This window comes from Homo sapiens, chromosome 9 (assembly GCF_000001405.40).
Source record: "Homo sapiens chromosome 9, GRCh38.p14 Primary Assembly".
Classification (NCBI taxonomy): Eukaryota; Metazoa; Chordata; class Mammalia; order Primates; family Hominidae; genus Homo; species Homo sapiens.
This window is the reverse complement of record NC_000009.12, coordinates 115,445,048-115,472,228: the sequence shown is the minus strand read 5'-3', so window position 1 is coordinate 115,472,228 and position 27,181 is coordinate 115,445,048. Positions and strand designations below refer to the sequence as shown.

At 38.2% G+C, this 27,181-nt stretch overlaps 1 annotated feature.

Annotated features, from left to right (window-relative positions):
* Positions 4,175-6,662: an enhancer, noted in NCBI's record as "VISTA enhancer hs1625". NCBI's record gives its function as "enhancer in: forebrain[8/12] | branchial arch[8/12]" and the evidence as "EXISTENCE:transgenic organism evidence [ECO:0001131][PMID:17130149]".

The window sequence follows — 27,181 nt, the reverse complement described above, 5'->3', positions numbered from 1 at the left end:
CAGTTTAAATCCAGTAACAACCTGGGAAAAACCAAGAGTGGGGAAGGGAAGTGATTTGCCCAAGTCTGTACAGTGATTTAGTTACATGTGTTGTTTCATGTATTACCATTGGGTTTTCTGAATTCACTGTCTCTATAGAAAATTTTGAAAAGTAGAATTCCAAAGGCAATAAAACATTTTGGACATTTATGAGTTTTGCATGCTATTGAGCCTCTTAGATAAAACTTACTCTGTAAAATTGTATTATTCTTATTTCTGAAAAAGTCAGTTAAATACTGACATTTCTCAAAACACTACTTTTTAACATGAGGTGGCATTAAGGGTGATTATTATAAACAAATTTCTATTTACTTTTGAAGAAGATTTTGTTACAGACACCCAGCATTATAATGTGCAATTGACATTTAAGAATAATATTTAGTCCAAAGCTGAAAAGTGGTCATCCAGCCTCAAGATGAAAGCATGTCTCCAAATAACAGCTAAATTACAAACTGCATTTTGTAGCAGTGCTATAAAGGATGCTTACCAGGGATTGTTTCTGTGCAGATCTCAGTTAGGGTCAGTATGAGTATAGTGACAACACTTTCTAAGACAGCACTCCCTATAACAGGATAGCAACTGTAGAGCTAGCTCTTTAAGCTGATCAATGCATAGGCAAGGTGACTTAAAGTCATTCATAGATTACCTTTTGTTCTGATGTCTGGGGGCAAGGTTCCTGGTGCAGAAAAAGGAAGCCAATCACCTCTCCAATTTCTTTGACCACCACAGAGACTACATTAAATTGATTTTGTTCTGAAAGGAGCCAAAGTCTACAGCTCATTTCATACTGAAGTCTGGAGAGAGGATGTTATCTGGCTAAGGCTTCAATGTTTGATAAAGTGACAAAAATAATGGCTAAAATCTGTATTTTTAAAAATCCATCTCTGGACTAGAGATATGAAATGTATTCTGTCTTTTCCTAAAATGTGATATGAATTATAATTGTTCCAAAGTCTTCAGAAGTTCCCCATTTTCTCATCATTACATTCCTGCTGCCTGAAAGAATAATAAACTATCCAAAGTTATTATTGAGTTACAACCACAACTCTTTACCTTCAAATCACAAGTTCCCAAATGGTTTCTAACTATGGCCAAGCCTCCGTGCCTTTGATTTTACTCTTCTCTTGACCTGGATAATGCTACCTGTCAAAATCCTTTAAAGATCAACTCAGACTCATGTCTACTTTCCTTTTTTTTTTGAGACAGAGTGTCACTCTTGTCACCCAGGCTGGAATGCAGTGGCGTGATCTTGGCTCACTGCAGCCTCCACCTCCCAGTTCAAGCAATTCTCCTGCTTCAGCTTCCTGAGTAGCCACACCCGGCCAATTTTTGTACTTTTAGTAGAGACGGGGTTTTGCCATGTTGGCCAGGCTGGTCTCGAACTCCTGGCCTCAGGTGATCCGCCTGCCTCAGCCTCCCAAAGTGCTGGGATTACAGATGTGAGCCACTGTGCCTGGCCATGTCTACTATCTTGTAGCTCATTTATTTGGTTGAGTTATTATCCTTAGTGATTGGTTTATATTTTACTTCAGCCAGTTAATCACATATTTTCTTTTTTCTCCTTGTAAATTTTCATCACTGAGAATCTGAGAACTGTGTTTTGTTTTTCTTGATAGCATCTACAATATCAATAAATGTTCTATAAATGTGTGCTGGATTTGAATCTTCCATTGACCAAAGTCTTAAAAAACGTAGTATAAAAGGAAGACTGGAGCCCAGATCTTCTGAGTCCCAGTTTCAGTTCTCTTTTTATTCCAGGTTGAAAGTTGACTTTGATTTCCATTTTGGTCTTGTGTGAAGACACCTCTCCTGTCCCTGGCTTCACACTGGATGCTCAAAGCCAGCAGGGCACACTTTGACATACACTAATGGATGAAATCTTCCTCACTTATCCTGCAACCTTGGAAAAATCTCACATCCGGCAATCCCAAATGCAAACCCTAAGCCTTTCATCTGGGAGTCCATCTGGTATTATAAAATCCATAAATGTCTTTGTCAGTCCCAAGTTCTGCTGTGCTAAACATAGTTTTCACACCAAGTTACCTCTTGAATCCCACCCACCGAGTTCTCAGAAAAGTCATGTAACAATAATTGTTTTATCCAGCACTGTTAACATCTGTGATTTAATTGTGCCCAGCTGTTAAGAAAATGCAGAGAAAGACAAAGGAAAGAAGACACAAAGCCCTGCCCCCAGACCCCATCCCTATGACTCAAATGTTTTAGCACCAAGAACTCAAGAACTAGTTTAATCATTCTCTTCAAAGGTGTAGTGGGGAATTGACGTTAATCTCTTGCAATTTGAAATTAAAATTTCCTGAGTTTCTAATGGGAATGCTATTTGAGTTGCCTAACAGAAATGGGAGACAGTCATAGATCCTTTGTTTCAACTTCCTAGATTGGTGGCTGAGTAGAGACAGATTTGAAAAGATTTGTTTGGGGCCCTTAGAATGTTTAATCTATACTGGGACCTGTTGGCAAACTAGGAGAAAACTTTTCCTGCATCTAATACATGGCTCCCCAAAAAAGACTTCCTGAGACAGCTACTTCTACAGAATGTTAATAGGTATTTTGAAGAGAAAGGTAATGCTAAATCATTTAAGAAACACTAGGTAAAGCTAAATCTATCCCTCTAGGCTTCAACTTTCTAAATGAAGAGGGCCTTTATGATAATAATATATTTGTACTTGCCCAAGGAGGATAGAGCCTGTGGCTTATTTGACCATTAAGCACTTTTTCCATTGAAGCTCTGGTAGGACTCATGGTAACTGGGACACTTTAAATGAGCAAACAACACCAAAAATAAAATAAAATAAACAAATGTAAAACAATGCAAAAAACTCTAATCTAGTACTACTGTTCTCTTCTTCTTACATCAACCTGTGGAGTCACCTCTTGCTTTTACATCCTCTTCTCTGTTTTACTTCCATTTAGGCTATTCGTTAATTTATAAGCAACTATATGCCAATTTCTTCCTTTCCAAAAAAATCCATTTTTAATATTGTCTCCATGTTATTCTGAGATAGAAAAAGCAATGGCCTTGAATTCAAACAAATATGAATTCAAATTTTTGTTCTGGGGGTTACCGACTCTGTGATCTGGGGCAAATCTCTTTACTTTTAGTTGTTTATGCCTTACTTCTTCTGTAAAGGGAATAAGAAAACAGCCCTTAAGATCATTGCAAAACTGAAAAAATAAATATATGAAGCATTTATGATAATATGTGACTCACATCAGATCCCCATTATAAATATATGTGAAGCCCCATTCATAGTATTGCTAGTGTTATATTGACAGTGGTATTTGCAATAGAAATAGAATAAAAATAGCTTTGAAATAGCATACCACATAAATATGATGAGGTTTATCAATGCTGTTGATATGGACAGAAGGCAGGGAAATGCTAAAATGAGAACTTCACATCCCCGTTTTCCCACCCGAATGTTTCCTTTTGGCCTGCCACACCCCTTATCCTGTGCCCATGAAAACCCCAAGCTCCACTGGCAGAGGAGCAGAGCAGTGTGGCAGAGAACAGAAGAGAGAAGCATCAGAATGTTTAGAGGAGAAAAAGCAGCTGGACATCAGAGACTACAGCTGAACTCTAGGGGAAGAGCACCTTCCCACTCCATCCCCTTTCCAGCTCCCTATCCCACTGAGAGCCACTTCTACCACTCAATAAAATCTCCGCATTCACCATCCTTTAGGTCCATGTGACCTCATTTCTCTTGGACATTGGACAAGAATTCAGGACACCCTGGGTGGGGGAACTAAAAAAGGCTGTCACACTGGCCCCTAGTCCTCACTGGTAGAGGGAAGCTGGCCCATACAATGAGGTAAATGCCTCACTGAGCTGTTAGCATGCCCTCTGGGGTTCCAGGGGTCCCAGGCATCCCTTCCCAAAGGCAGAGATAAAAGAGCAATTGTAACACATGTGGATGCTGCCATGAGGCCTAAACAGGGCCTGTTCCCACTGGAGAGAAGTGGCTGGTGGTTCCAGTGTTTGTTCACTCTGGTTCCCACACCTGTCTGCTTGCGTGTTCCCTCCCATAAGGGGTTGAGCACAATGGCCAAGTAAACGAGCCACCCCTTTCACAAGTCCTGCAAAGGGGCCAAGGGAACTCTCTTGTTTCACTATTTTAAGTCAAGAGGCATAGTCAAAAGATTTATATACTCTCCCTGACCCCAGAAAAGTTATTCTAATTTGTACTGTTCATTTAATGCTGAGTTTCCCAACTGAGGGGCTGCAGTCAGGAGGCCTGCAAGGGTATTAATCCCCTTGATCTTTGTAGTTATCCAGAGCCCTTGGACTGCTCACTTCTGCCTCTAAGTAGCCTCTTTAGTTAATTACTATGTTTGGTACACATATGGTCATTAACTCAGGCAACATGATGTCAACCAGGATGTAGTGAACCACACTAGTTAATGTCATGATGTCAAAAACACAGTCATGAGGGTACAATGAGTTCTTGTTGAGTGACCCATTTAAACATTTAACCTTTATTTAAAACCAACCAAGGTTTCAGTTGTGACTGGGAGGTTGCTTACTTGGATACGTGACTTAAAAATTGTGTGTCATTTAAGAATTAATTAGATTGATAGATCTTTATAGACCCTTTGGACATTGAGATCATTAGATTGTATCAACTGACTCCAGCATATGCCCAACAGCTTGACCCTGAACTTTGTAGTTTTCCTTTTCCCAATTCATAACTCAGAAGTAAAGCCAAACAAAGAAATAAAGGCCAGCCTCTTTGGCCACCACAGATTTGCCACTCAGAGGGAAGTTGAGGCCTAACAGGCAAAGTATAAAGAAAGTTAAAATTTCTCAATAACAATGAAATGATTGAAGAACCCTCTGGTTAGTGTGGCTTAGTGTCAAGGGTTTTAGAGCCAGAAGGGCTTAAATTAAAACTACAATTCTAGATTCCTATCCCTGAGCTCTGATTATCCATTATCTAAATTGAAATGATGAAATGAGCAACTCAGACAGTAGCTGCAGAAAAATAACTTGTAAATGGTAAACTGCTGTGAACACGTGATTGTTGTGTTCTACTGGTCGTGATCCGGAGGACTGGTAGAGAGCAAATGAAGACTGAGCCAAAAAGACAGCATTTCCAGCCCATGCTTTACTTCTGGCCCCCTGCCTTTCCTTTCCCAATTTCACATTTTCACATTCTCACACTGGGGCTCAGACCGAAGGGAATGTGCCGTGGAGACTGGTGGTTTCCATCAGAACACAAGCTCCACGTTCCACAGTGGGATTCCCAGTCTCAGCACATGTTGGTCTGGACTCCGCAATCCCCCAGCTCCACTCTCCTAAATTGCTATCAGTCCCCACAGGACAGCTTCTTGCAATGTGTTGTTTTGTCTCTCCCTGTTGCTACAGCAATCCAAAAAAGATTTGTGTTTCCAATTCTCTGAAATGGAGACATCTGCGTGCAATTTTTGAAAATCCTTGTCAGGGTCCTCATTTACTGTTTTGATCAGCTCTCCCTGACATGTTAGCAGAGTTCCCAGAGAAGTTAAAAGGGAAGAGAGCCCTCTAGGCAAACAAGTGCTTCCCATAAAGGCAGCATGCCTATGGATTTCTGTCCTCTGTGGAGTGAACTCCAAGAATGCACAGATACCAAATTATCTCCCCAAGCCTAACCTGAGCCTTTCGATTCGACCCTAGAAGGAGAATGGTCAAATCAAAAGGCTCAGATTAGGACTCTCTTCCAGTTAAATTCTGTCAGGGAGTTGTCTCTTCTACATTTTTATATGAGCCCATGTGAGTCCTAAAAGTCCTGCCCCTTGCATGTGCCCCATTTTGAGAGGTGACAGAAGGTGACATTGTTTAGGACTGGACAACAGGAATCCTGATCTTTGTTCCTCATTGTAAATAACCATGTGGTCGTAGGTGTAAGAATCACATCTGGGCTTCAGTTTCATCATGTGTCAAATGAGTTGACTGGATGTCCACGGCCTCTTTGATGTCTGCAATAACTCTAGGCATGAAGATTATCCAGGAATGGGGCTCCAATACATACACCTGCTACTGCTAACCCCCAGGCAGAAATTTATTATAAAAGTTTAGTCACTGGACTACTGTTGGAATAATGTTTGGAAGTATTCTACTCCTCAATGGAGTAGAAAACTTATCTAGATCTTAAAGTCAGATAGACTCACTTCCAAGCCCTCATATGTTACTTTTTGGTAGTGTGACTCAGGGCAATTTATGTAAGGCCTCCAGGCTACTGGTAGCTATTTTACAAATAATTTGTGAAAAGTAGGTAAAGTAGTTTATGTAAAGTACAGAGCACAGTGCCTAAAACAAAGCAAGATCTATATAATTTCCCATTCCTCTTTTTTTTAATTATCCACTTTCTAACCTCAAGCTAGCCCAAATCCAAGCTTATATGTGTACATATTAATGCTTCTACATTTTTAAAATGTGTATAAATTTAAGGGGTACAAGTGCAATTTTGTCACATGGGTATACTGTGTAGTGGTAAAGTCCGGGCTTTTAGTGTATCTGTCACCCAAATACCTTTATGTTTATATGTGTGCATATACTGAAATGCATATGTACAGCTGAAAAATCACCCCCTCCACCCATATCATGGCTTTTGCTTAATTGGGGTATTAACACTTAAAAAAATAATTATAACTTTTAGTTTAGATTCAGGGGGTACATGGGTATATTGAGTGATGTGGAAGTTTGGGATACAAATGATCCTGTTATCCAGTTAGTGAGCATAATACTCAACAGTTAGTTTTTCAGTCCTTGCTCCCCTTGCACCCCCTTCCCTTTTAGGAATCTGCAGTGTCTATTGTTGCAATCTTCATGTCCTTGAGTATCCAGTGTTTAGCTCCCACTTGTAAGTGAGAGTATGTGGTATTTGGTTTTCTGTTCCTGCATTAATTCGCTTAGGATTATGGCCTCCAACTGCAGCTATGTTGCTGCAAAAGTGATTTCATTCTTTTTAATGGTTGTAAAGTATTTTATGGTGTACATGTACCACATTTTCTTTATCCAATCTACCGTTGATGGGCACCTTGGTGGATTCCATGTCTTTGCTATGGTGAATAGTGCTGTGATGAACATACATGTGCATGTAACCCTTTCTTCAAAATGAAATTGAATGATCTTCTTTTTCCATTTAATGCTATATATATTTATGTTAAATTTTACATGTTATATATTAATGTTCAATATATTTATGTAATATATTTTAATGTTCAATATATATCATATATATATTTTTTTTGAGAAGTGTCTATTCATGTTATTTTCCCACTTTTTAATGGGATTATTTGTTTATTTCTTGCTGATTTGTTTGACTTCCTTGTAGATTCTGGATATTAGTCCTTTGTCAGATACGTAATGTGAAAACATTTTCTCCCATTCTGTAGGTTGTCTGTTAACTTGGATGATTATTTCTTCTGCTGTGCAGAAGCTTTTTAATTCCATTAGGTTCCATTTATTTATTTTAGTTTTTATTGCTTTTGCTTTTGAGATTTGGTCATAAATGTTTTGCCTAGGCCAATGTCCACAAGAGTGTTTTCTGTGTTTCCTTCTTGAATTTTTAGGGTTTCAGGTCTTATATTTAAGTCTTTAATCTATTTTGAGTTACTTTTTTGTATATAGTGAGAGATAGGGATCCAGTTTCATTGCCCAACCAACAGAACACTTCTGCTACCTCTCCAGCCACACACAAACACACACAAATGTGAGTGCCTGCTCTCCCCCTGGCTCAGAGTCTCAAATTAAATATCTTTTCTTCTTGTTAGAAACCAAGCAAGGTTTTCTGCTAGTCCATTCTAGGTCCATGTAGATATGGCATCTGCATTTCAAAAAGTGCCAAATGGAAGCCAAAGTTGAGAGACAAAAAAGGTACTAGCTCTGTTCCTAGTCTGGAGTGGTCAAACAGTTTAATTTTTTCTGATATTAGAAAAACTGGGCAAACACCCCCAAAATTGGGCCTTTCTTGTTCCTGGTGACTGATACAGTGAGATACCATGTTCTTGATTTTTGCCAGACCCTGTACTAAGTGTGGATACATATTATTTTATCCCAGTTACTTCTCATAGCCACCCTATGAAATTTACTCTATTATTAGTGCCCATTTATACATAATGAAACAAAGGCTTAAACAAGTTAAGTGACCTGACAAAGTTCAGATGGCTAGCAAGTCTCATTCATAAGATCCCCCACCAGACCCCAGTCTTCCACAAGATTGACCACTCCAGGATTTGATCACTTATCTTTTCTTTATGTTCTTCCTTAGATGATGGTATCTGGTCTAATCACTTAAAAAATTATGTATACACTAAATATCTTTACACATAAATCTCCGGCCATGATCTCTACAAGGAGCTCCAGATTCATATATTCAACCACCCCATTCAGCACCTCCATTTCAAGGTTCTTTAGACACGTCCAACTTATGATCAAAAATAAATTCCATTTATCACCCTCCTTAATATGTACCCCTCTCTCCCAGTTGTTTGCATCTCAGAAAATATTACTATCATTGATTGATTATCTTTTACACTTCATATACTATCTATCAACAATTCCTGTCCTCTCTACTTTCAAAATATATGCAGGATCTAAGCACTTTTCCCCATCTGAGTCTAAACTGGGTGTCCAACAGAAATATAATGTGAGTCCTACATACAATTTTTAATTTCCCAGTAGCCACATTTTAAAAAGTAAGAAGAAACCATTGAATAACATATTTAATAGCATTTTATTAACATATTTATTAATGCTTTATTTCATCCATTTGAGCAATTATTTGAGAAAAATATTTCAACATGTAGTTAATACAAAATAGATATTAGGCAGACATTTTACATTATTTTCTATTAAGCCCTTGAAGTCTGATGCATACTTACACTTACAGAGCATGTTCGTTTAAAGGAGCTACATTTCAATTGTCAGTAAGCATATTTGACCAGTGGGTTCTGTGTTGGACAAGCAGTGCAGGTCCAACATCATAATCCCCCTAGAATTCTCTAATAGCCCCCTAGCAAGTCTAAATTATTCTACTCTTATTCCACCAAGTCTAGGATTCACACCACAGTCTAATGATCCTTTAAAAATGTCAATCAGATCATGCCACTCTATTGTTCCAAATACCTCTGGTTTCCTAGCACTTATAAAACTCTGAAGCCCTTCCATGGTCTGGCTCCTGACTGCCTCCTTGACAGGGCTCTCTGATCCTCTGCTCTGTACACTCTCGCACTGTGCTTCAGTACGCTGGCTCTAGCAGACACAGTTGATGGTTTTTCCAGACCCTTTTGTATCTCTGTGTTGTTCTTGTGCTCATCGTCCACCCTCTGCGAGCCTTATCTTCTAATGGCTGACCCCGAGACTTTGTTTAAAGGACTGCCCCTGGGCATATGGAGCTAATCCTCTTGCCTATCCTAACAGAGACCTGGAATCTAGGGGAGTCGACTTCCTCCCTGGCTCCCTGAAGTGTAGTATAATCTCCAGGAAAGACGAAGCTAAGGCCAGCACTTTGTGTAAATTCTTACTCTTTCCTTTCCTACCTCCTAGACTCCATTACAGATTCCTTCTGCAAATGCTTCCATAATGAATAACTTATAAGACAGCATGGGCAAACTAACCTAGGACAATGGCCTTAGACACTCTTCTACATCAGAATTGCCTTTACAGTTGCCAGTCCTCAGCCTAGAACTCTCTTCTCCCATAGAGAAACATGGCCGGCTACTCTCACTTCATTCAGGTTTCTGCTCAAACATCACCACCTCAAGAAAAGCTTTCTCTGATGTATGTGTCTGTTTCTCCCTTTCTTCTTCTCTGCTTTATTTTCCCAGATAAGAATTATCACCATCTGACCTTATATAAGTGAGTTTTCTTGTCGTTATTGCTCGTTTCTTTCACTAGGATATAAACTTCATGAAACAACTTTGTTTTGTTCACATAATATTCATAATACTCAGAAGTGTGCTCAACAACACTGCTAAATATGTATTTAGTTAATAAATGTATGAATGAATGAACTGGTGGAGGCACAACCAGGGTAGACAGTATTAATTCCAAAAATGCATATGCTACATGTTTGAAAAGCCTAAATCTACAAAAATTATTTCAAATTGTTAGGGTGCACACAAATACATATATGTTCAAAAAAACATTTTTTATCAACCATCCTATAGGGCTAGAATGCCATACACTCTGCCTCTGTAACAAGGAATGGCCCCATTTCTTAAGGGAAAAAGAACGAAAGTATACATTATTACTCTGAAAACTCTCTAGCTATTAGGAATTGTAGCTACTTACTTTCCAAGCCCAACTGTGACTCCAACCAATAGTGCACCAACATTAACCAATGTCAGATTGAAAACATAAGAATTCAGATTAAAGAAATGAAGTAATTACAAAATGCTTTCACGGTTCCTGGTATATTATATGCTCTTTATTCACAGTTGCTAAATTATCACAGTGGTTCTTTGCTCCCTGATATCTTGCTCAAAACCTGAGTCTTAACTCAGTTATATCAATGTGAAAGAATGAGATCTGGTTGGGAACAGAACTAGAATTCAGAGGGCGAAGCTGATAAAATATGCAATGCCACATTTCTAGGACTTTGTGTCCTGAACACTGACCACCGTAACCTGCACAGAAGGGATGAGAAATAGCAGTGAAGGGGAACATATGATTTCCCAGGAGAAAAAATTATCAACTCTGTGGCTTGAGTAACAGAGTTGCTCAGTAAACTTTACTGGTAGTTTGCAGTCTGTCTGAAAATACTAGCACATTCTTCCAGTACCCTAGCCAATATTGCTTTTGGAATAGAAATTATTGGCAGATTGTGAAAAGACGACTGAAATAGTTTAGAAATGAGCTTTTGCCTGTGCTAATCACTCCAACCTTTTCATGTTTAAGTAAGTCAGTGAAAGGAGCATGTACTCTGTCTTTAAATGTCAATTAGCTAGGGAGTCATTTAATTCATCAAGGAAATGCAATTAAATGATAAAATGACGATTACATTAGGATCATTAATATTGATATCAAAACCACAAGCAACGTAACAAATGCCATGACATTCCTGGGGAAATGAATATCAACCCTGTTCCTATTCTACCATGGAACTCTGCTTCTGGGAACAAGATTCAGAGCACACTGTAGTTGAGATGTGACAGTCTTCAGGATGTGGTACCAGTTCAGTCCCTGGGATGAGATGCCAGGGCCTGGGAGCAATGATGAAGTGGGTAGCACAAGGGTAATGATCATTATTATCTATTGTCCTACTGCTGCTGTAACAAATGGCCACAAACACAAACAGGTTTTAATGGCTTAAAACAACACAAATCAATTATTGTACCATTCTGGATGCCAAATGTCTAAAATGGGTCATACAGGGCAAAAATCAAGGAATCTACAGAGCTGCATTCCTTCTGGAGCCCCTAGGGGAGAATCCATTTTCTTGCCTAATCAAACTTCAAGGCTGCCTTTATTCCTCAGCCCTGGCCTCTTCCCCATATTCAAAACCAGTAGCATGGCAGTTTCAAATCTCTCTTTGGTCTGTTTCACACCACATTACCTTCCCTAACTGTGATGCTCCCTCCTACAAGGACCCTTGTGATTACATTGGGCCCAACCAGAATAACGTAGGATAGTCTATTCAACTCCAGATCCTTAACTTTAATCACATCTGTAAGGTTTCTTTTGCCTAGTAAAGAAACATTCAGAAGATCTAGAAATTAGAATGTGGACATCTTTGGGGCCATTATACTGTCCACTAAATTCCCTGTCACAGGCTTCCCTTATTTCTTCTGTATTTTCTACCCTTTTATCTGTGAACAGTTGACTCTCATGTGGCAAAAAGGACTTGTCCAAACTCTGAAGATACTTGACCAAACTCTAGCCTGGCTTTCATCTGCACCAAGCTATGTCCCTAAAGGCAACCTCTGCTTCCATGCTGAGTTTTTACTCGAGAAAATACAAGCCACCAAACCCCAAAATGTACATTGTTCCAACCCACTTTGCCATACCATTTTATTTATTTATTTTTTTTGAGATGGAGTCCTGCTCTGTCACCAGGCTGGAGTGCAGTGGCACAATCCTGGCTCACTGCAACCTCTGCCTCCCGGGTTCAAGCAATTCTCCTGCCTCAGCCTCCCGAGTAGCTGGGATTACAGGCGTGCGCCACTACGCCCAGCTAATTTTTGTACTTTTAATAGAGACGTGGTTTCATCATGTTGGCCAGGGTGGTCTTGATCTCCTGACCTTGTGATCCGCCCGCCTCGGCCTCCCAAAGTGCTGGGATTACAGGCGTGAGCCCCCGCGCCCGGCCTGCCATACCATTTTAAGTAATTTTCCACTTACCTCTCTTTTCTGTAACTCTCCATTTCTACATAGCTCCCAGTCTCTTTCTCATTCCCGCTTAGTCCAGTTTTGTTCCCTATCTGTTCTCCCTTTAAAAACCTTTGTTATCTTCATCTTAGTTGGAGTTGAGCTTGTTCTATATTAGAGTCTCTCCTTCTTCTATAGTAGTCTGAATAAAATCTATCTTCCGACCTTTAACAAGTATCTGGCTCTGTTTTCTCTTTGACCCCTCTCTCACAGCAAACATTAGAAAAGGATCTGAAATAAAACTTTTGAACCTTTCTGTGATTTGGAATCTTTGTGTCTTCTCACAGAAATACAGGTCAGAGAGGTCAAGCGAACTTATCAGTTTAACAACATTAGCAAGAAAGAAGGTGTTTCTTGCTAGAACCATGCCACCTGACGTATGTGCCAAGCAGGGTAATGATATGGATTAGGATTATGAAACAGATCAGAGAATCTTCATGAAAGACATGGGGTTTGATTTAAGCTTGAAAAATTATCAAAACCTGGTGGAGGAGTGAAAGCAAAGAAAGAACAGAGGAGTGCGAAGGCAGAAGATGTCTTAAACACAGGAGAATCAGGAAGCACACGGTAAACAAACCTTCTCTATGAGGATGTATAAAAATGTCACTTTCAGCCGGGCGTGGTGGCTCACGACTGAAATCCCAGCTCTTTGGGAGGCCGAGGCGGGAGGATCACGACGTCAGGAGATAGAGACCATCCTGGCTAACACGGTGAAAACCCGTCTCTACTAAAAATACAAAAAATTAGCCAGGCGTGGTAGCGGGCACCTGTAGTCCCAGCTACTAGGGAGGCTGAGGCAGAAGAATGGCGTGAACTTGGGAGGCGGAGCTTGCAGTGAGCGGAGATTGCACCACTGCACTCCAGCCTGGGCGACAGAGCGAGACTCCGTCTAAAAAAACAAACAAACAAACAAAAGTCACTTTCGTCAAGTGATATTTTCTTTGCTGATCAGTTACTTTTAGAATCCACTCCTTCTTAGTCTCCCTTGTTCTGTTCCATATTTTCCCTTTATAATTTCATGTTTGCAAGATCAGAACAAACAGGGATCTTTATATTCCCCACCAAAATACAGTGGTTAGTGGCGTTGCCACTGCATAGATGGACAGTCACGCCTTGGGTCCAGTCACCTGCACTCTCTTCCTCACAATGTGAGTGATCAAAGACCTAGACTCTCAACTATCTGCCAACTTTGTCTCTATTGTTAGTAAGATTTGCTAGATCTGGAGTTCTGAGAATTGGAGGAATGGTGTACTCTTGATCTGTCTTATTCTGCATATGTATTTTGGCCAAAATGTCCCTTCCATGGTCAGAAACAGGGTAGAAAGATGAATGTTAGAAACACATGCATGACTCACTTCCCTGGTGACTATTCTACTCCAGTCAGGACTTTCGTGGGGTCTCCTGAGCTAAATAAATGTTTATTTTGAATGCTAAAAGAAAAAAAAGAAAGCCTCATAGGAGAAATGTTAACCAACAACCATAGCCCACAGGTAGCATAGAATCAACTAAATGAATCTTTTACAACCCCTTGCAGTTTTATAGCCTGCCTACCACTATAGACACTAGTCATGGGCTATTGCCTTCTTAAATGCCAAAGTTACTTATCTTAAAATTTTCTCATATGCGAATAAGAGAGAGCTAGTTTTCCACAAAGAGAAAGATATTTTTATTTTTATTTTTTTGTTTTTTGTTGTTTTTTTTTTAAGATGGAGTCTCGCTCTGTCACCCAGGCTGGAGTGCAGTGGCGCGATCTCGCCTCACTGCAAGCTTCACCTCCTGGGTTCACCCCATTCTCCTGCCTCAGCATCCCTAGTAGCTGGGACTACAGGTGCCCGCGACCACACCCAGCTAATTTTTTTGTATTTTTTAGTGGAGACGGGGTTTCACCGTGTTAGCCAGGATGGTCTCGATCTCCTGACCTCGTGATCCGCCTGTCTCGGCCTCCCAAAGTGCTGGGATTACAAGCGTGAGCCACCGCGCCCAGCTGATATTTGCACATTTTTAATACAATAGTAGAGCACATAATCTGTGCCTAAAAAGAAAAGAATTGTTTTTTCCTTTTAGTGTCCACAGTCTTTAAGGAAAAAAATAATCAAATAAACATAACCTTTATAAAAGCACAATGAGTACATAGGAAAAAATTACCTAGCTGATTAGGGAAGGTATTATAGAAGAGGTTATAATTAAAGCAATTCTTCACAGTGAAATCCTGTGAGTTTGCTAGGTATAGATTCTGAAGGGAAGAACATTATAGGCAAAAAGAATCAAATTGCAAAAGGCCAGAGGAATAAGAATATGACATATTGCTGAAATATTAGAAGTTCAGTGATTAGGACTTTGGGTGCAAAGGAGTTCTTGATGAGAAGTAAAATCAGAAAAGGAGAATTAGCTGGATTATGAGAAACCCTGCATGCTACATATGAGATGTAAACTTCATCCTGTAGGTGATGAGAAGCCACTAAAACAATTGACACAAGGAATGACTGTGCCCATTGTATAACTGAAAATGATGGCTTGGTCAAGCAGTGTGGAGGATGTTGAAGAAGATAGTGAGACTGACCAATGAGGCAAAGAGACTCCAATCCAGGCAAATAGATAGTCCAGCCTAGTGGATGTTTTAATACTGAAGAAGAGTTGAATTGAAAACAAAAAAACTTAGAAGGTAGAATGGACTGGAAGTGGAGACCAACTGATGATGGGGAAAGAGAAGCGTGAAGATTAAAATGAGTTCTAGGCACTTGGTTTGAGTTACTGGGAGACACTGTGACATCGACTGCATGAGAGGCAATAGGAAAAAAAGTTTCTCCAAAGACGTCGTCCACCACTAACTTATAGATTTGGGAGGGAATAGTTCTTATAACTGGACATGTCCCTTAGCCACTGGAAGGCTGAGAATTCATATAGAATGCCTATGTAGGAGGCAGGCATGTCCTGATGACTACAGTGTTTAAATAGATGAAAATATTCAGATTGTCTGGAAAATATTTCACCATTAGAAGTGATCTAACTGTGAAAGTGTCTATTTGGAACCAGCCCCAGTTCCTAAACTTCTTGAAGGCTTTTCCTTGCAAGGAGGTGAAATAAGCAATACTAACTTCACCCTCACAGAGTCAGGAATTGTGCAAGAAGCAATGCTGGGAATAGCTAATTCATCTAAGAAAGTGAAGCTCAGCAGGATGGCAGTGGTCCATGGAATCATTGCTTTTAAAACTGGAATAAAATTAGAATAGTATCTGGCTGGATTGCAATCTTCTACTGGACTGATAATGTAAATTTCTCTGATTTGTTGGTCAGTTGCAGTGATACAGTTTTTCTGACCCCTTCAGATGTGCGGGTTAATTTCAAAATAGAAAATTACTAAATCTCAGAGCAAAATCACAGACTATAGATGAGCTTCTTTAATCTCTTCTTGTAAACAGAAGGTTGAAGTCTAAGAAATATTAAGAAACTGATCAAAGATCAAACAGTAACTTGGATATGGGGATTGGTTAACTCACATGATGAACAGATTCTGAAAAACTTGAATTAGCCTATAACTGGGTGCCTATAAATGAACAGCGTTTGCTGTGTACTTGCTGTATGCAGGGATGTATCCCGAGTGTAAGACATGTCAAGTGTCAGTGATAAGCTTAGGTCAGTTCTAGAATAATGAAATTTCCATAGACAGGTTGGGTCGAGTAAATTTTTCATTACTAAGATCTACCTATCTTTATTACTTAAGACCATTGACCAGTTTTTCAACCTATATCTCATACAATAGCCTGAACACTCAATGTTCCTGCAGTGCCTTTGGACCCCACCATATTATCATCCTTCTTATCACTGCTGATTTCTTCAGTGTTTTCTACATTGCAGGTACAGTACTAAACATTTTACATTTATTATCTCATCCAATCTCACAGTCATCTTATGAGGCTGGTACTATTATTATTCCCATTCTATAGAAGTGAAGTTCAGAAAGAAGTAATTAGTCCAATATCACATAGCAGGTACATGAAAGAGCCTGCACTAAAGACTGTGAAGGTTAGAGGGGACTTCATGGTTATATTTGCTAAATTTCTGCATCGTTCTCAGCAACAAGACACTCATCCCACTTCTGCTCTGATTGACTCAGGAATGAGGATTTATTACCAACAAACACAGTTATCTTCATTTCATACATTTGTAACTGTTCTTCCTTATAATGAAGCTGAATTCAGTATCTTTATAACATTTAATTATGAGTCCTGGTCATATCTCTTGAGATCCTCACAATAGTTCAAAAGCGTCATCTATCTGAGAGTTATTCAAATATGTGAAGACAGAGTCTTCTTTCCAATATTTAGTTTCCTTCAGTTCTCCTTCATATGTTCTGACTCCTGAATCTCTTACCATTTTTATTATTCTCTTTCAGAAATCTTTTTAATTATCAAGAATTCTCTCACCAAAAGCAAAACAAAACAAACATCACAAACACAAACTTCCAGAAGTAAATCAACTGTCCTGGATAGATTAGAATTTACAGCATGACTTTTTAAGTGAGTGAACATATTAAATAAAAGAACACAAGCAAAAGATATAGGTTAAATCCTGACTTTGTCATTTGCTGAGCTAAGTCCCCTTACCTTCTCCCAATCTCAGTGCTCAATTGTTAAATTGAGACAATGATACCACACTCATTGTCTATTAAGGACAAAATAAAATAATAGGCAGTCATTTTATTGTGCTTAATTTTATTGTGCTTCACAGATATTGCATTTTTTACAAATTGAAGTTTTGTGGCAACCCTGAATCTAGCAAGTCTATTGGTAGCAGTTTTCTAACAGTAAGTGCTCACTTTGTGTCTCTGTGTTAGATTTTATTAATTCTCATACTACCTTAAACTTTTTTGTTATTATTATATTTGTTATGGTTTTCTGTGAGCAGTAATCTTTGATGTTACTATTGTAATTGTTTGGGGGCACCAAGAACTACACCCATACAAGAGAGCAAACAATCGATAAATGTTGTGTGTGTTCTGACTGCTCCACCAACCTGCATTCCCCCACCTCTCACCCTCTCCTCAGGCCTCTGTGATTCCCAAGACACAACAATATTGAAATTAAGCCAAATAATAATCCTACAATGGCCTCTAAGTGTTCAAGTGAAATAAAAATCGCATGTCTCTCATTTTAAATCAAATCTAGAAATGACTAATCTCAGTGAGGAAGACATTTTGAAAGCCAGGACAGAAAAAAAAAAAAAAAGTTTATTGTGCTAAACAGTTAGCTAAGTTGCTAATCCAAGGGAAACATTCTTGAAGGAAAAGTGCTACTCCAGTGAACACATGAATAAGAAAGCAAAACAGTTTTATTCCCGATATAAAGATGGTTTTAGTTTGACAGAAGATCAAACCATCCACAACATTCCCTTAAGCTAAAGCCTAATGCAGAGCAAGGCCTTAATTCTCTTCAATTCTAGGATCGCTGAGAGGAAGCTTCGGAAGTCTGAAACTAAACAGCTTGCTTCATAATATTTAAGGAAAGAAGCTGTCTCTAAAGCATAAAAGTGCAAGGTGAAGCAACAAGTTTTGATGTAGAAGCTGCTGCAAGTTATCAAGAAGATAAGATATTTGATGAAGATGGTTACTGAATAACAGATTTTCAATGTAGGTGAAACAGTCTTATATTGAAAGATTAGTCTGTTTTCATGCTGATGATAAAGACATACCTGAGACTGGGAAGAAAAAGAGTTTTAATTGGACTTACAGTTCCATATGACTGGGGAGGACTCAGAATCATGGTGGGAGGCAAAAGGCACTCCTTACATGGCAGCGGCAAGAGAAAAATGAGGAAGATGCAAAAGTGGAAACCCCTGACAAACCATCATATCTTGTGACACTTATTTATTACCATGAGAACAGTATGGGGGGAACCGCCCCCATGTTTCAAATTACCTTTCACCAGGCCCCTCTCACAACACATTGGAATTATGGGAGTACAGTTCAAGATGAGATTTGGGTGAGGACACAGAGTCAAACCATATCAAAGAAGATGCCATGTAAGACTTTTATAGCTAGAGAGGAGATGTCAATGCCTGACTTTAAAGCTCCAATGGACATAGTGCAGCTTGTGACTTTCAATTGAAGCCAATACTCATTTAGCATCCAAAAAATCCTATGACTCTTAAAAATTATGATAAATACATTCTTCCTATGTTCTATAAATAAAATCAAAGACTATAGAGGCTTTATGGCAGCAAATTTGTTTACAGAATGGTTTATTGAACATTTGAAACCCAATTTTGAGACCTACTGCTAAGAAAAAAGTGATTTCTTTCTAAATATTACAGTCCATTGACAATGCACCTAGTCACCCAAGATCTCTGATGGAGAAGTACAAGGAAATTAATGTTTTCATGCCTGCTAACACAACATCCATTCTACAGCCCATGAATCAAGCAGTAATTCTGATTTTTAAGTTTTATTATTTAAGACATTTTGTAAGGCTTTAGCTGCCATACGGAATAATTCTTCTAATTTACGCAAAGTAAGTTGGAAACCTTCTCGAAAGGACTCACCATTTTAGACACCATTAAGAATATTCGTGATTCATGGGAGGGAGGTCAAAATATCAACATTAACAGGGTTTTTGAAGAAGTTGATTCCAACCTTCATGAGTGACTTTGAGGAATTCAAGACTTCAGTGGATGAAGTAACTGCAGATGAGATGGAAATAGAAATAGAACTAGGAGTAGAAGATGTGACTGAATTGCTGCTATCTCATGATAAGATTTTAACAAATGAGGAGTTGCTATTTATTGATGAGCAAAGAATGTGGTTTCTTGAGGTGGAATTTATTAGTGAAGATGCTGTGAAAATTGTTAAAATGACAGCAAAGGCTTTAGAATACTGAGAATACTACATAAACATAGTTGTTAAAGCAGCAGCAGGGTTTGAGAGGATTGACTCCAATTTTATATGTTTTATTCATTTATTCATTCTTTAAAGACAAAGCCTCACTCTGTCATCCAGGATGGAGTGCAGTGGTTGTCATAGCTCACTGCAGACTCAAAGTCCTGGGCTCAAGCAATCTGCCACCTCAGCCTTCTGAGTAGCTAGGACTACAGGCACACACCACCACACTTGGCTATTTTTTATTTATTTATTTTATTGTTGTTGTCATTAGAGACAGGGTCTTTCTTTGTTGCCCAGGCAGTTCTCAAACTCCTGGCCTCAAGCGAGCCTCCTGCCTTGGCACCTCCAAGCACTGAGATTATAGGCATGAGCCACCATGCCCAACCTCCAAATTTTGAAAGAAGGTCTACTTTGGGTAATTATCAAACAGCATCACATGCTACAGAGAAATCTTTCAGGAAAGGAAGTCAATCAATACAGCAAACTTCACTGTTGTCTTATTTTTTTTTCTAATTGCCACAACCACCCTAATCTTCAGCAACAATCACTCTGATCCCAGTTAGCAGTCATCAACATTGAGGCAAGACCCTCCACTAGCAAAAAGATTACAATTCACTGAAGGCTCAGATGATTGTTAGCATTGTTTAGTAATAAAGTATTTTAATTAAGGTATGCACATTTTTAGACACAGTGCTATTGCATACTTAATACACTATAGTATAATGGAATCATAATTTTTATATGCACCGGCAAACTAAAAAAAATGTGGGCCGCGTGCAGTGGCTCACGCCTGTAATCCCAACACTTTGGGAGGCCGAGGCAAGTGGATCACCTGAGGTCGGGAGCTCGAGACCAGACTGACCAACATGGAGAAACCCTGTCTCTACTAAAAATACAAAATTAGCCGGGTGTGGTGGCACATGCCTATAATCCCAGCTACTAGGGAGGCTGAGGCAGGAGAATGGCTTGAACCTGGGAGGTGGAAGTTGCGGTGAGCCGAGATCATGCCATTGCACTCCAGCCTGGGCAACAAGAGTGAAACTCCGTCTCAAAAAAAAAAAAAAGGAAAAAAAAATGTGTCACTTGCTTACTTGTGATATTTCCTTTGTTGCCCTAGTTTGGAATTGAAGCCACAATATCTCAGAGGTATGACTGTATACAAAGAATATCATATTATTTCTAGAGGTAATAAGCGTTCAATATGATGATTTAAAATTATTTATAAAGGACTTTCACCTTCAGAAAGATTGAGTAGATCTACCTTTCTCCTAGTAAGTGCAACTAAAACCTGTAGATACTATATATATAAACACACAAAAGAAGACTCAGAAGGTTGAGGAGAGGAAGGCATGCCATCTAGGGACCTTGTGACCTGAGGAACAATGAGACAGTGAGTCTGTGGGTTTCTTTTTGCCTCATGTGTTCAAGACTGGGAGTCAAAGAAGCCAGTAACCTAAAAATGCTAATAGACATAGACATTAGCATTAGCGTAGACCAAAATCTCCAACAAAAGCTTTTTGGTTTTCCTCTCTAGCAAAAGACCAGGAAAGGAACAGTCAGGCCGGACATAAAGACAGATTTTAGGCAACCATCAATCTACCATGGACAAATGCATCAGAAACTGTGACCAATCCATACTTGCACGAGTAAATGCCAGGTGAGGAGCAGCCTAAACATTCATCCTCACAAGGCTGTAATACAGCACCCCCAATACCCAAGACTGGCGTGATTTAAGAGAAGACCAAGTTAGGACCAATGATTTCAATTCCTCTAGCCAGTAATGGGCCATCCTGCTGGTGTCATTAGAGACCACATAAAATTTCTGAACTTCTACCCCAACTCCCCATTTCCCTTCACACTGGGACAGTGTCAGGGCAGACCTCGTGAAGATTCAGGACTTTCACCATCATCTAAAGTAATAAAGCCACACCTTCTGTAGCAGTAGTGGAGATCCCGTAGGAAGCCAGACTCCTTCCAGCAATAGCAATGAGCCTCCCTTCCTTCAGTGTCAATGAAAATCAAGTAGAGAACCTGGATTTTACCATCACCAGACAAGATGGTCTTCTCCCTGCCCCTGGCAGGACAATGTCAGAGAAAACCAGTCTTATTTAAATGGTAGGTTTAAATAAGATCCAGATTTTTACAAAACAATCTCCTTGTTTAATTTAAAACCACTCATCATGTCAAGGATTAGGATGATCTCAAACAGAACAAAAAAAGACAATAAATAATAAAACTAAGATAACAGAGATGTTAGTATCAGCTGACAAAGATTTTAAAGCAGCATAAAGAGAGGTAAGCTTTCTATACCTTACTCCACCTAGTAAAATGATGGCAACAGTAGACTGCAATAACTTCTGTATAAATGATGTAATATATTACCTAGAGGAACCACAAAAGATACACTCTTAAAAATATTAAAGGTATATCAAATTGTAATTCTAAGAAATGTTCAGTAACCCATGGGAAGGCTGGGGAAAGAAATTGGAAAAATGAAAAACATTACAAGCGAAACCAAAAGATCAAATCAAATCAAGTAGCAGACTTAAGGTCTAACATAGCAATATTACATCAAATGTAAATTATTTAAGTACAACAATTAAAATACAAATATTGGCAGAGTTGCTTTAAAAAATATGACCCAGTCATTTGCTATATATAAAAAACTCCAAATATTAGGGGTTTATGCAAAAGTAATTGTGGTTTTTGCCATTAAACTAATGGCAAAATACAGGAAGGTTAAAAGTAGAAAGATGAAAACAATATATCATGTGAATTTTTATTGAAGGAAAACAAAAATAGCTATGTTAATGTAAGATAAAATAGACTTCAGAGCAAAGAAAATCATCAGAGACAGAAAACAGCATTACACAATGAAAAAGGGTCAATCTATCAAGATGATATACCAGACCTAAGTGTGTATGCATCAAATAACAGAGCTGAAAAATATATGAAACAAAAACTGATGGAGAATTAAATAACTGTACATTCATAGTTGGAGACTTCAACACACCTTTTTCAATAATTGATAGAACAACTAGACAGAAAATCAAAAATAATATGGAAAAATTAACATCATCAAACAATAGGATTTAATAAACATTCAAAGAACACTTTACTCAACAATAGCAGTATACACATTTTTTTTTCAAGCATCAGATCATATGTCAAGATATACCATCTCCTAGGACAAAAAAGAAACCTCAAAAAATTTAAAAGAATTTAAAGTAATCCAATGTGCTCTGACCACAATGAAATCAAACTGTAAATAAATAACCAAAAGATAAGAGGAAAATCTTTGAATACGTGGAAACTGAACAACATCCATCTAAATAGTCCATGGGTCAAATATAACATCTCACAGGAATAAAGAAAATACATTGAACTGAATGAAAATGAAATGCAACATATTAAAATGTGTGGAACATAGCTAAAGCAGGGCTGAGAAGAAAATTTATACCATTAAGTATGTACATCAGAAAAGAGAAAAAGTCAAAATAAGCCCAAAGCAAGCAAAAAAAAAAAAAAAAAAAAAAGAAAGGAAAAGATAAGAACAGAAATTAATGAAATAGAAAATAGAAAAACAATATGGAAAATCAATTAAATGAAAATTTAATTTAATAGTTCTTTGGAAAGACCAATAAAACTGACAACCCTCTAGTGATATTGGCAAAGAAAAAATTAAAGAAGATGCAAACTACAAAGCTCATGAACAAATTAGGAGATATTACTACAGAACCTGTAGACACAAAAAACATAATGAAGGAAGGCTCCAAACAAAGCTAGACACATAAATCTGACAACTTAGGCAACATGCAACACTTCATTGAAAAACACAAATTGCTATTCAAAATAAAACAGGTAATTTGTAGAGTCCTATAGCTATTCAGAAAATCAATTTTATAATTTAAAAGCTGCTTAAAGAGAAATCTCTAGGCCCATTTGGTTTCACTGGAGAATTCTCCCAAACATTTAAGGGAAAAATAACACAAATTCTACATAACTTCTTCAAGAAAATAAAAGGAAGGAATACTTACAGTTCATTTTATGTAGCTACCATTGCCCTCAATGGGGAAATATAGTTTTTTCAACAAACTGTGCAGAGTGCTTGGACATCCATGAGCAATAAAAAATAAGTAAATAAAAGTACCTTGACCTAAGTCTTACATCTTCTACAAAAATTAGCTCAAAATGGATTATGAACTTACATGTAAAACATACAACTATAAAACAATTTCTTTAAATAGGAGAAAATCTTCACAATTCAATGTAATCCACCATTCAAATAGCCTGATGAAGCAAAATCACATGAATATATCAATCAATGCAGAAAATATACTTGAGAAAACTCAGCATCCATTCATGGTTAAAAAAAAAAAAAAAAGTCGGAAAAATAGGAAAGGAGAACTTCCCAAACTTAATAAAAAGCATTTAGCAAAAACAAAGAAATACCCTATAGTTAAGACTATACTTAACGGAGAAAGACTGAAGGCTTTATTTCTTAGTTCAGAAACAAGAGAAGAGTCCTTGCTGTCATAATGCTGGGAATTCTCTTCAATATAATGAGGGAGGAAAGTGAAATAAAAGACATACAGATAAAAAAGAAAAAGGTAGACCAGGAGATACGTATTTGCAAACCACATATGTGACAAAATATCTAAAGTATATTAAGGATTCTTAAAATTCAGCATTATAAAATGTAAACAATCCAGTTAGAACAAAGGCAAAATACATCAAGAGACCTCAAAGTAAAAGATATATAGATGGCAAATAAACACATGAAAAACAAAATCAACATTATTAGCAATTAGGGAAATGGAAATTAAAACCACAATGCAATATCACCACACATCTATTAGAGGGCTGAAATAAAAAGTGGTAACAATACCATATGCTGTCTAAAATGTGAAGAAACTGAATCATTCAGACATTGCTGTTGAGAATGTAAAATGATACAGCTACTATGGAGAACAGTTTGGCAGTTGTTTGCTTTTGTTGTTGTCATTGTTGTTTTTAATTTCAGCTTTTATTTTAGATACAGAGGGTTCATGTGTAAGATTGTGACATGGGTATTTTGGACCCAGGTAGTGAGCCTGGTACCCAATAGGTAGTTTTTCAACCCATGCCCCGTCCCTTTTACCCCCACTAGTAGTCTGTAGTGTCTATTGTTCCTATGTTTATGCCCATGTGTGATCAATGTTTAGCTTCCACTTATAAGTTAGAACATGCCGTATTTGGTTCTATTCCTGTGTTAATTCATTTAGGATTATTGTCTTCAGCTCCAAACATGTTGCTGCAAGACATGATTTTATTCTTTTTTATGGCTGCATCGTATTCCATGGTGTATATGTATGACATTTCTTTATTCAATCCACCATTGATGGGTAGTTTCTTAAAACTAACATTCAACTACCACATGATACTGCCATTGCATTCTTGGGCATTTAACCCAGAGAAATGAAGATTTATATTCAAACAAAAACCCATACACTAATGTTTATAGCAGCTTTATTCATAACAACCTAAAACTAGAAAAAAAAAAAAGCTCAAACATCCTTTAGCAGGTAAGTGATTAAACAAATTGTGATACATCCATACCATGGGATAGTACTCAACAATAATAATGAACAAACTACTAATATATGCAACTATCTGAATGCTCTTATGTCAAGTAAAAAATCCAAATGCAAAAGATTACATATTGTATTATTCTGTTCACATAACTTTCTTGAAATGACAAAATTATAAAAATAGAGAATAGATTACTAGTTACCAGGGGTTAAGAAAGGAATAGGGGCTGGAGAGAAGTGGTTGTGGCTATAAAAGGTCAACTTCAGGGATCCTAGGGGTTACAGAAATGTTCTGTAGCTTTGCTGTATGAACATTAATATCTTGGTTGTGATACTGTCCTATAGACTTGCAAGATATTATCATTGGGGGAAACTGAGTAAACAGTACATAGATATCTCTATAATGTCCTACAACTGCATATGAAAACTATAATTATCTCAAAATTTAAAAACTAATTAAATTGTATTGCTAAGAATGAAGCACATCATCGGTCCTTAAAAATTTATAATCTGTAGGTGACATATGTTTTATATTAACTTGAACAGGTGTTTCCCACTGTGATCTGGAGTGTGTTTGTAGCTGTTATGTAACAGAAGGAATTTGTCATCACGGACATTTGGGAAATGCTGGCTTAAACAGTTTTCTTTTTCAGGAATTCTCAGAACCTTTATTATGCTTACCTGTGTCATGGTTCTGTAATTGGCAGAATAAACATCATTGTTCCTAATTTTTTCATTATGAAAACTTCTCCCCTTCCCACTTCTCCCCAAAACACATGCCCAACTCACCAGAGAAACATTTATGAGACCAATGTCTCATGGAATTCACTTAAAAAGGCCAGTATCTCAGGCCGGGCGCGGTGGTTCATGCATGTATTCCCAGCACTTCAGGAGGCCAAGGGGGGGTGGTTCACCTGAGGTCAGGAGTTCAAGACCAGCCTGGCCAACTTGGAGAAACCCCCATCTCTACTAAAAATACAAAAATTAGCCGGACTTGGTGATGCGCGCCTGTAATCCCAGAGACTCAGGAGGCTGAGGTGGGAGAATCGCTTGCAACTGGGAGGCGGAGGTTACTGTGAGCCAAGATCACGCCACTGCACTCCAGCCTGGATGACAGAGTAAGACTCCATCTCAATTAAAAAAAAAAAAAGAAAAAAAGAAAAAAATGCCAGTATCTCTAGAATATGCTATTTACTACTCTGGCTTAATCATGCAAGTTAAGTAAATTCTAAGCAGAAGCAGTAACTTATCAGAAGGCAAAAAGTGTAAAATAGTAAAGATCTCTGGACAATTAACATTTAGGACATGGGAATGTGCACAGGGCTTGTAGGAGGCAGATCTGAGATCTGGAGGGATGTCAAGTGGTCAGATCCTGAAGAAACTTGACTGTGAATCCAGGAAATTGAACTTTGTTCCAGAAGCCATAGAGTCTCTACCCTGGCCCACCCTTTTATTCTACAAACGAGGACACAGGAGAATAAACCGAATAAACCAATTTAACTATGGCTGTCCAGTTTTGACTTTAAGAATTCTAAAAATGTGAGTAGAATTTACAGACTATGACATTAGCCTTTGACTTCAGTGATTACAAAGCACTTATGGATAAACTTAAAATCAAAACATCTCTGTGTATATTCACATTATCCTGAGTCTTGGCCCAGTGGTTGCAAAGTCATTCTTCAAGTCTCCTTATCATGCAGACGGGGCAACAATCCCAGAAAAAACAGACACAAGATAGAATTCAGGTCTCTATCTCCAGCATGAATCTCTTTGCATTCTCTGTTCTGTCTTCTAAAGGGGTCTTTCAGCCTCACTCAAACATAACCTAGAGGAATATAAACTTGCACCTTTAGCTTCTGAGAAAGGGGACAGCCCTGGGATTAATTAAAATCCTACACACTGATTAAAACACTCTAGCACCTCAGGATCAGTTATGAAAGCTTTTCATCATGCAACCTCAGTAAAAAAAAAAAAAAACTCAGTAAACAGCTCCCATTTCCAACCTGTATTTTGAGAACAAAAGATATCTGTCAGGAGGGAGGAAGGATGGGGGCTGGCCACGAGGATTGTTTTTCTGTGGCTGCAGTAGAAAATAGTCTGGTTTGAATTGTTGTAAAGTAGAAAAACAAATGGCATGTAGCTGTGCATTTTAACTCACAATATCAGTTTGAAAAAAAAAAAAAGTTGTTTTCTCCCATGACTCAATGGAGCGTTGCATTTGGCAGCTGGACCCCATTACTGGCATCCCCACAAAGGAAATGTCAGATCAGGCATTATTTACAATCTCAAGTTTACTTTTTCACTGAAGCCTTTCATGGCCCTGTCCACATT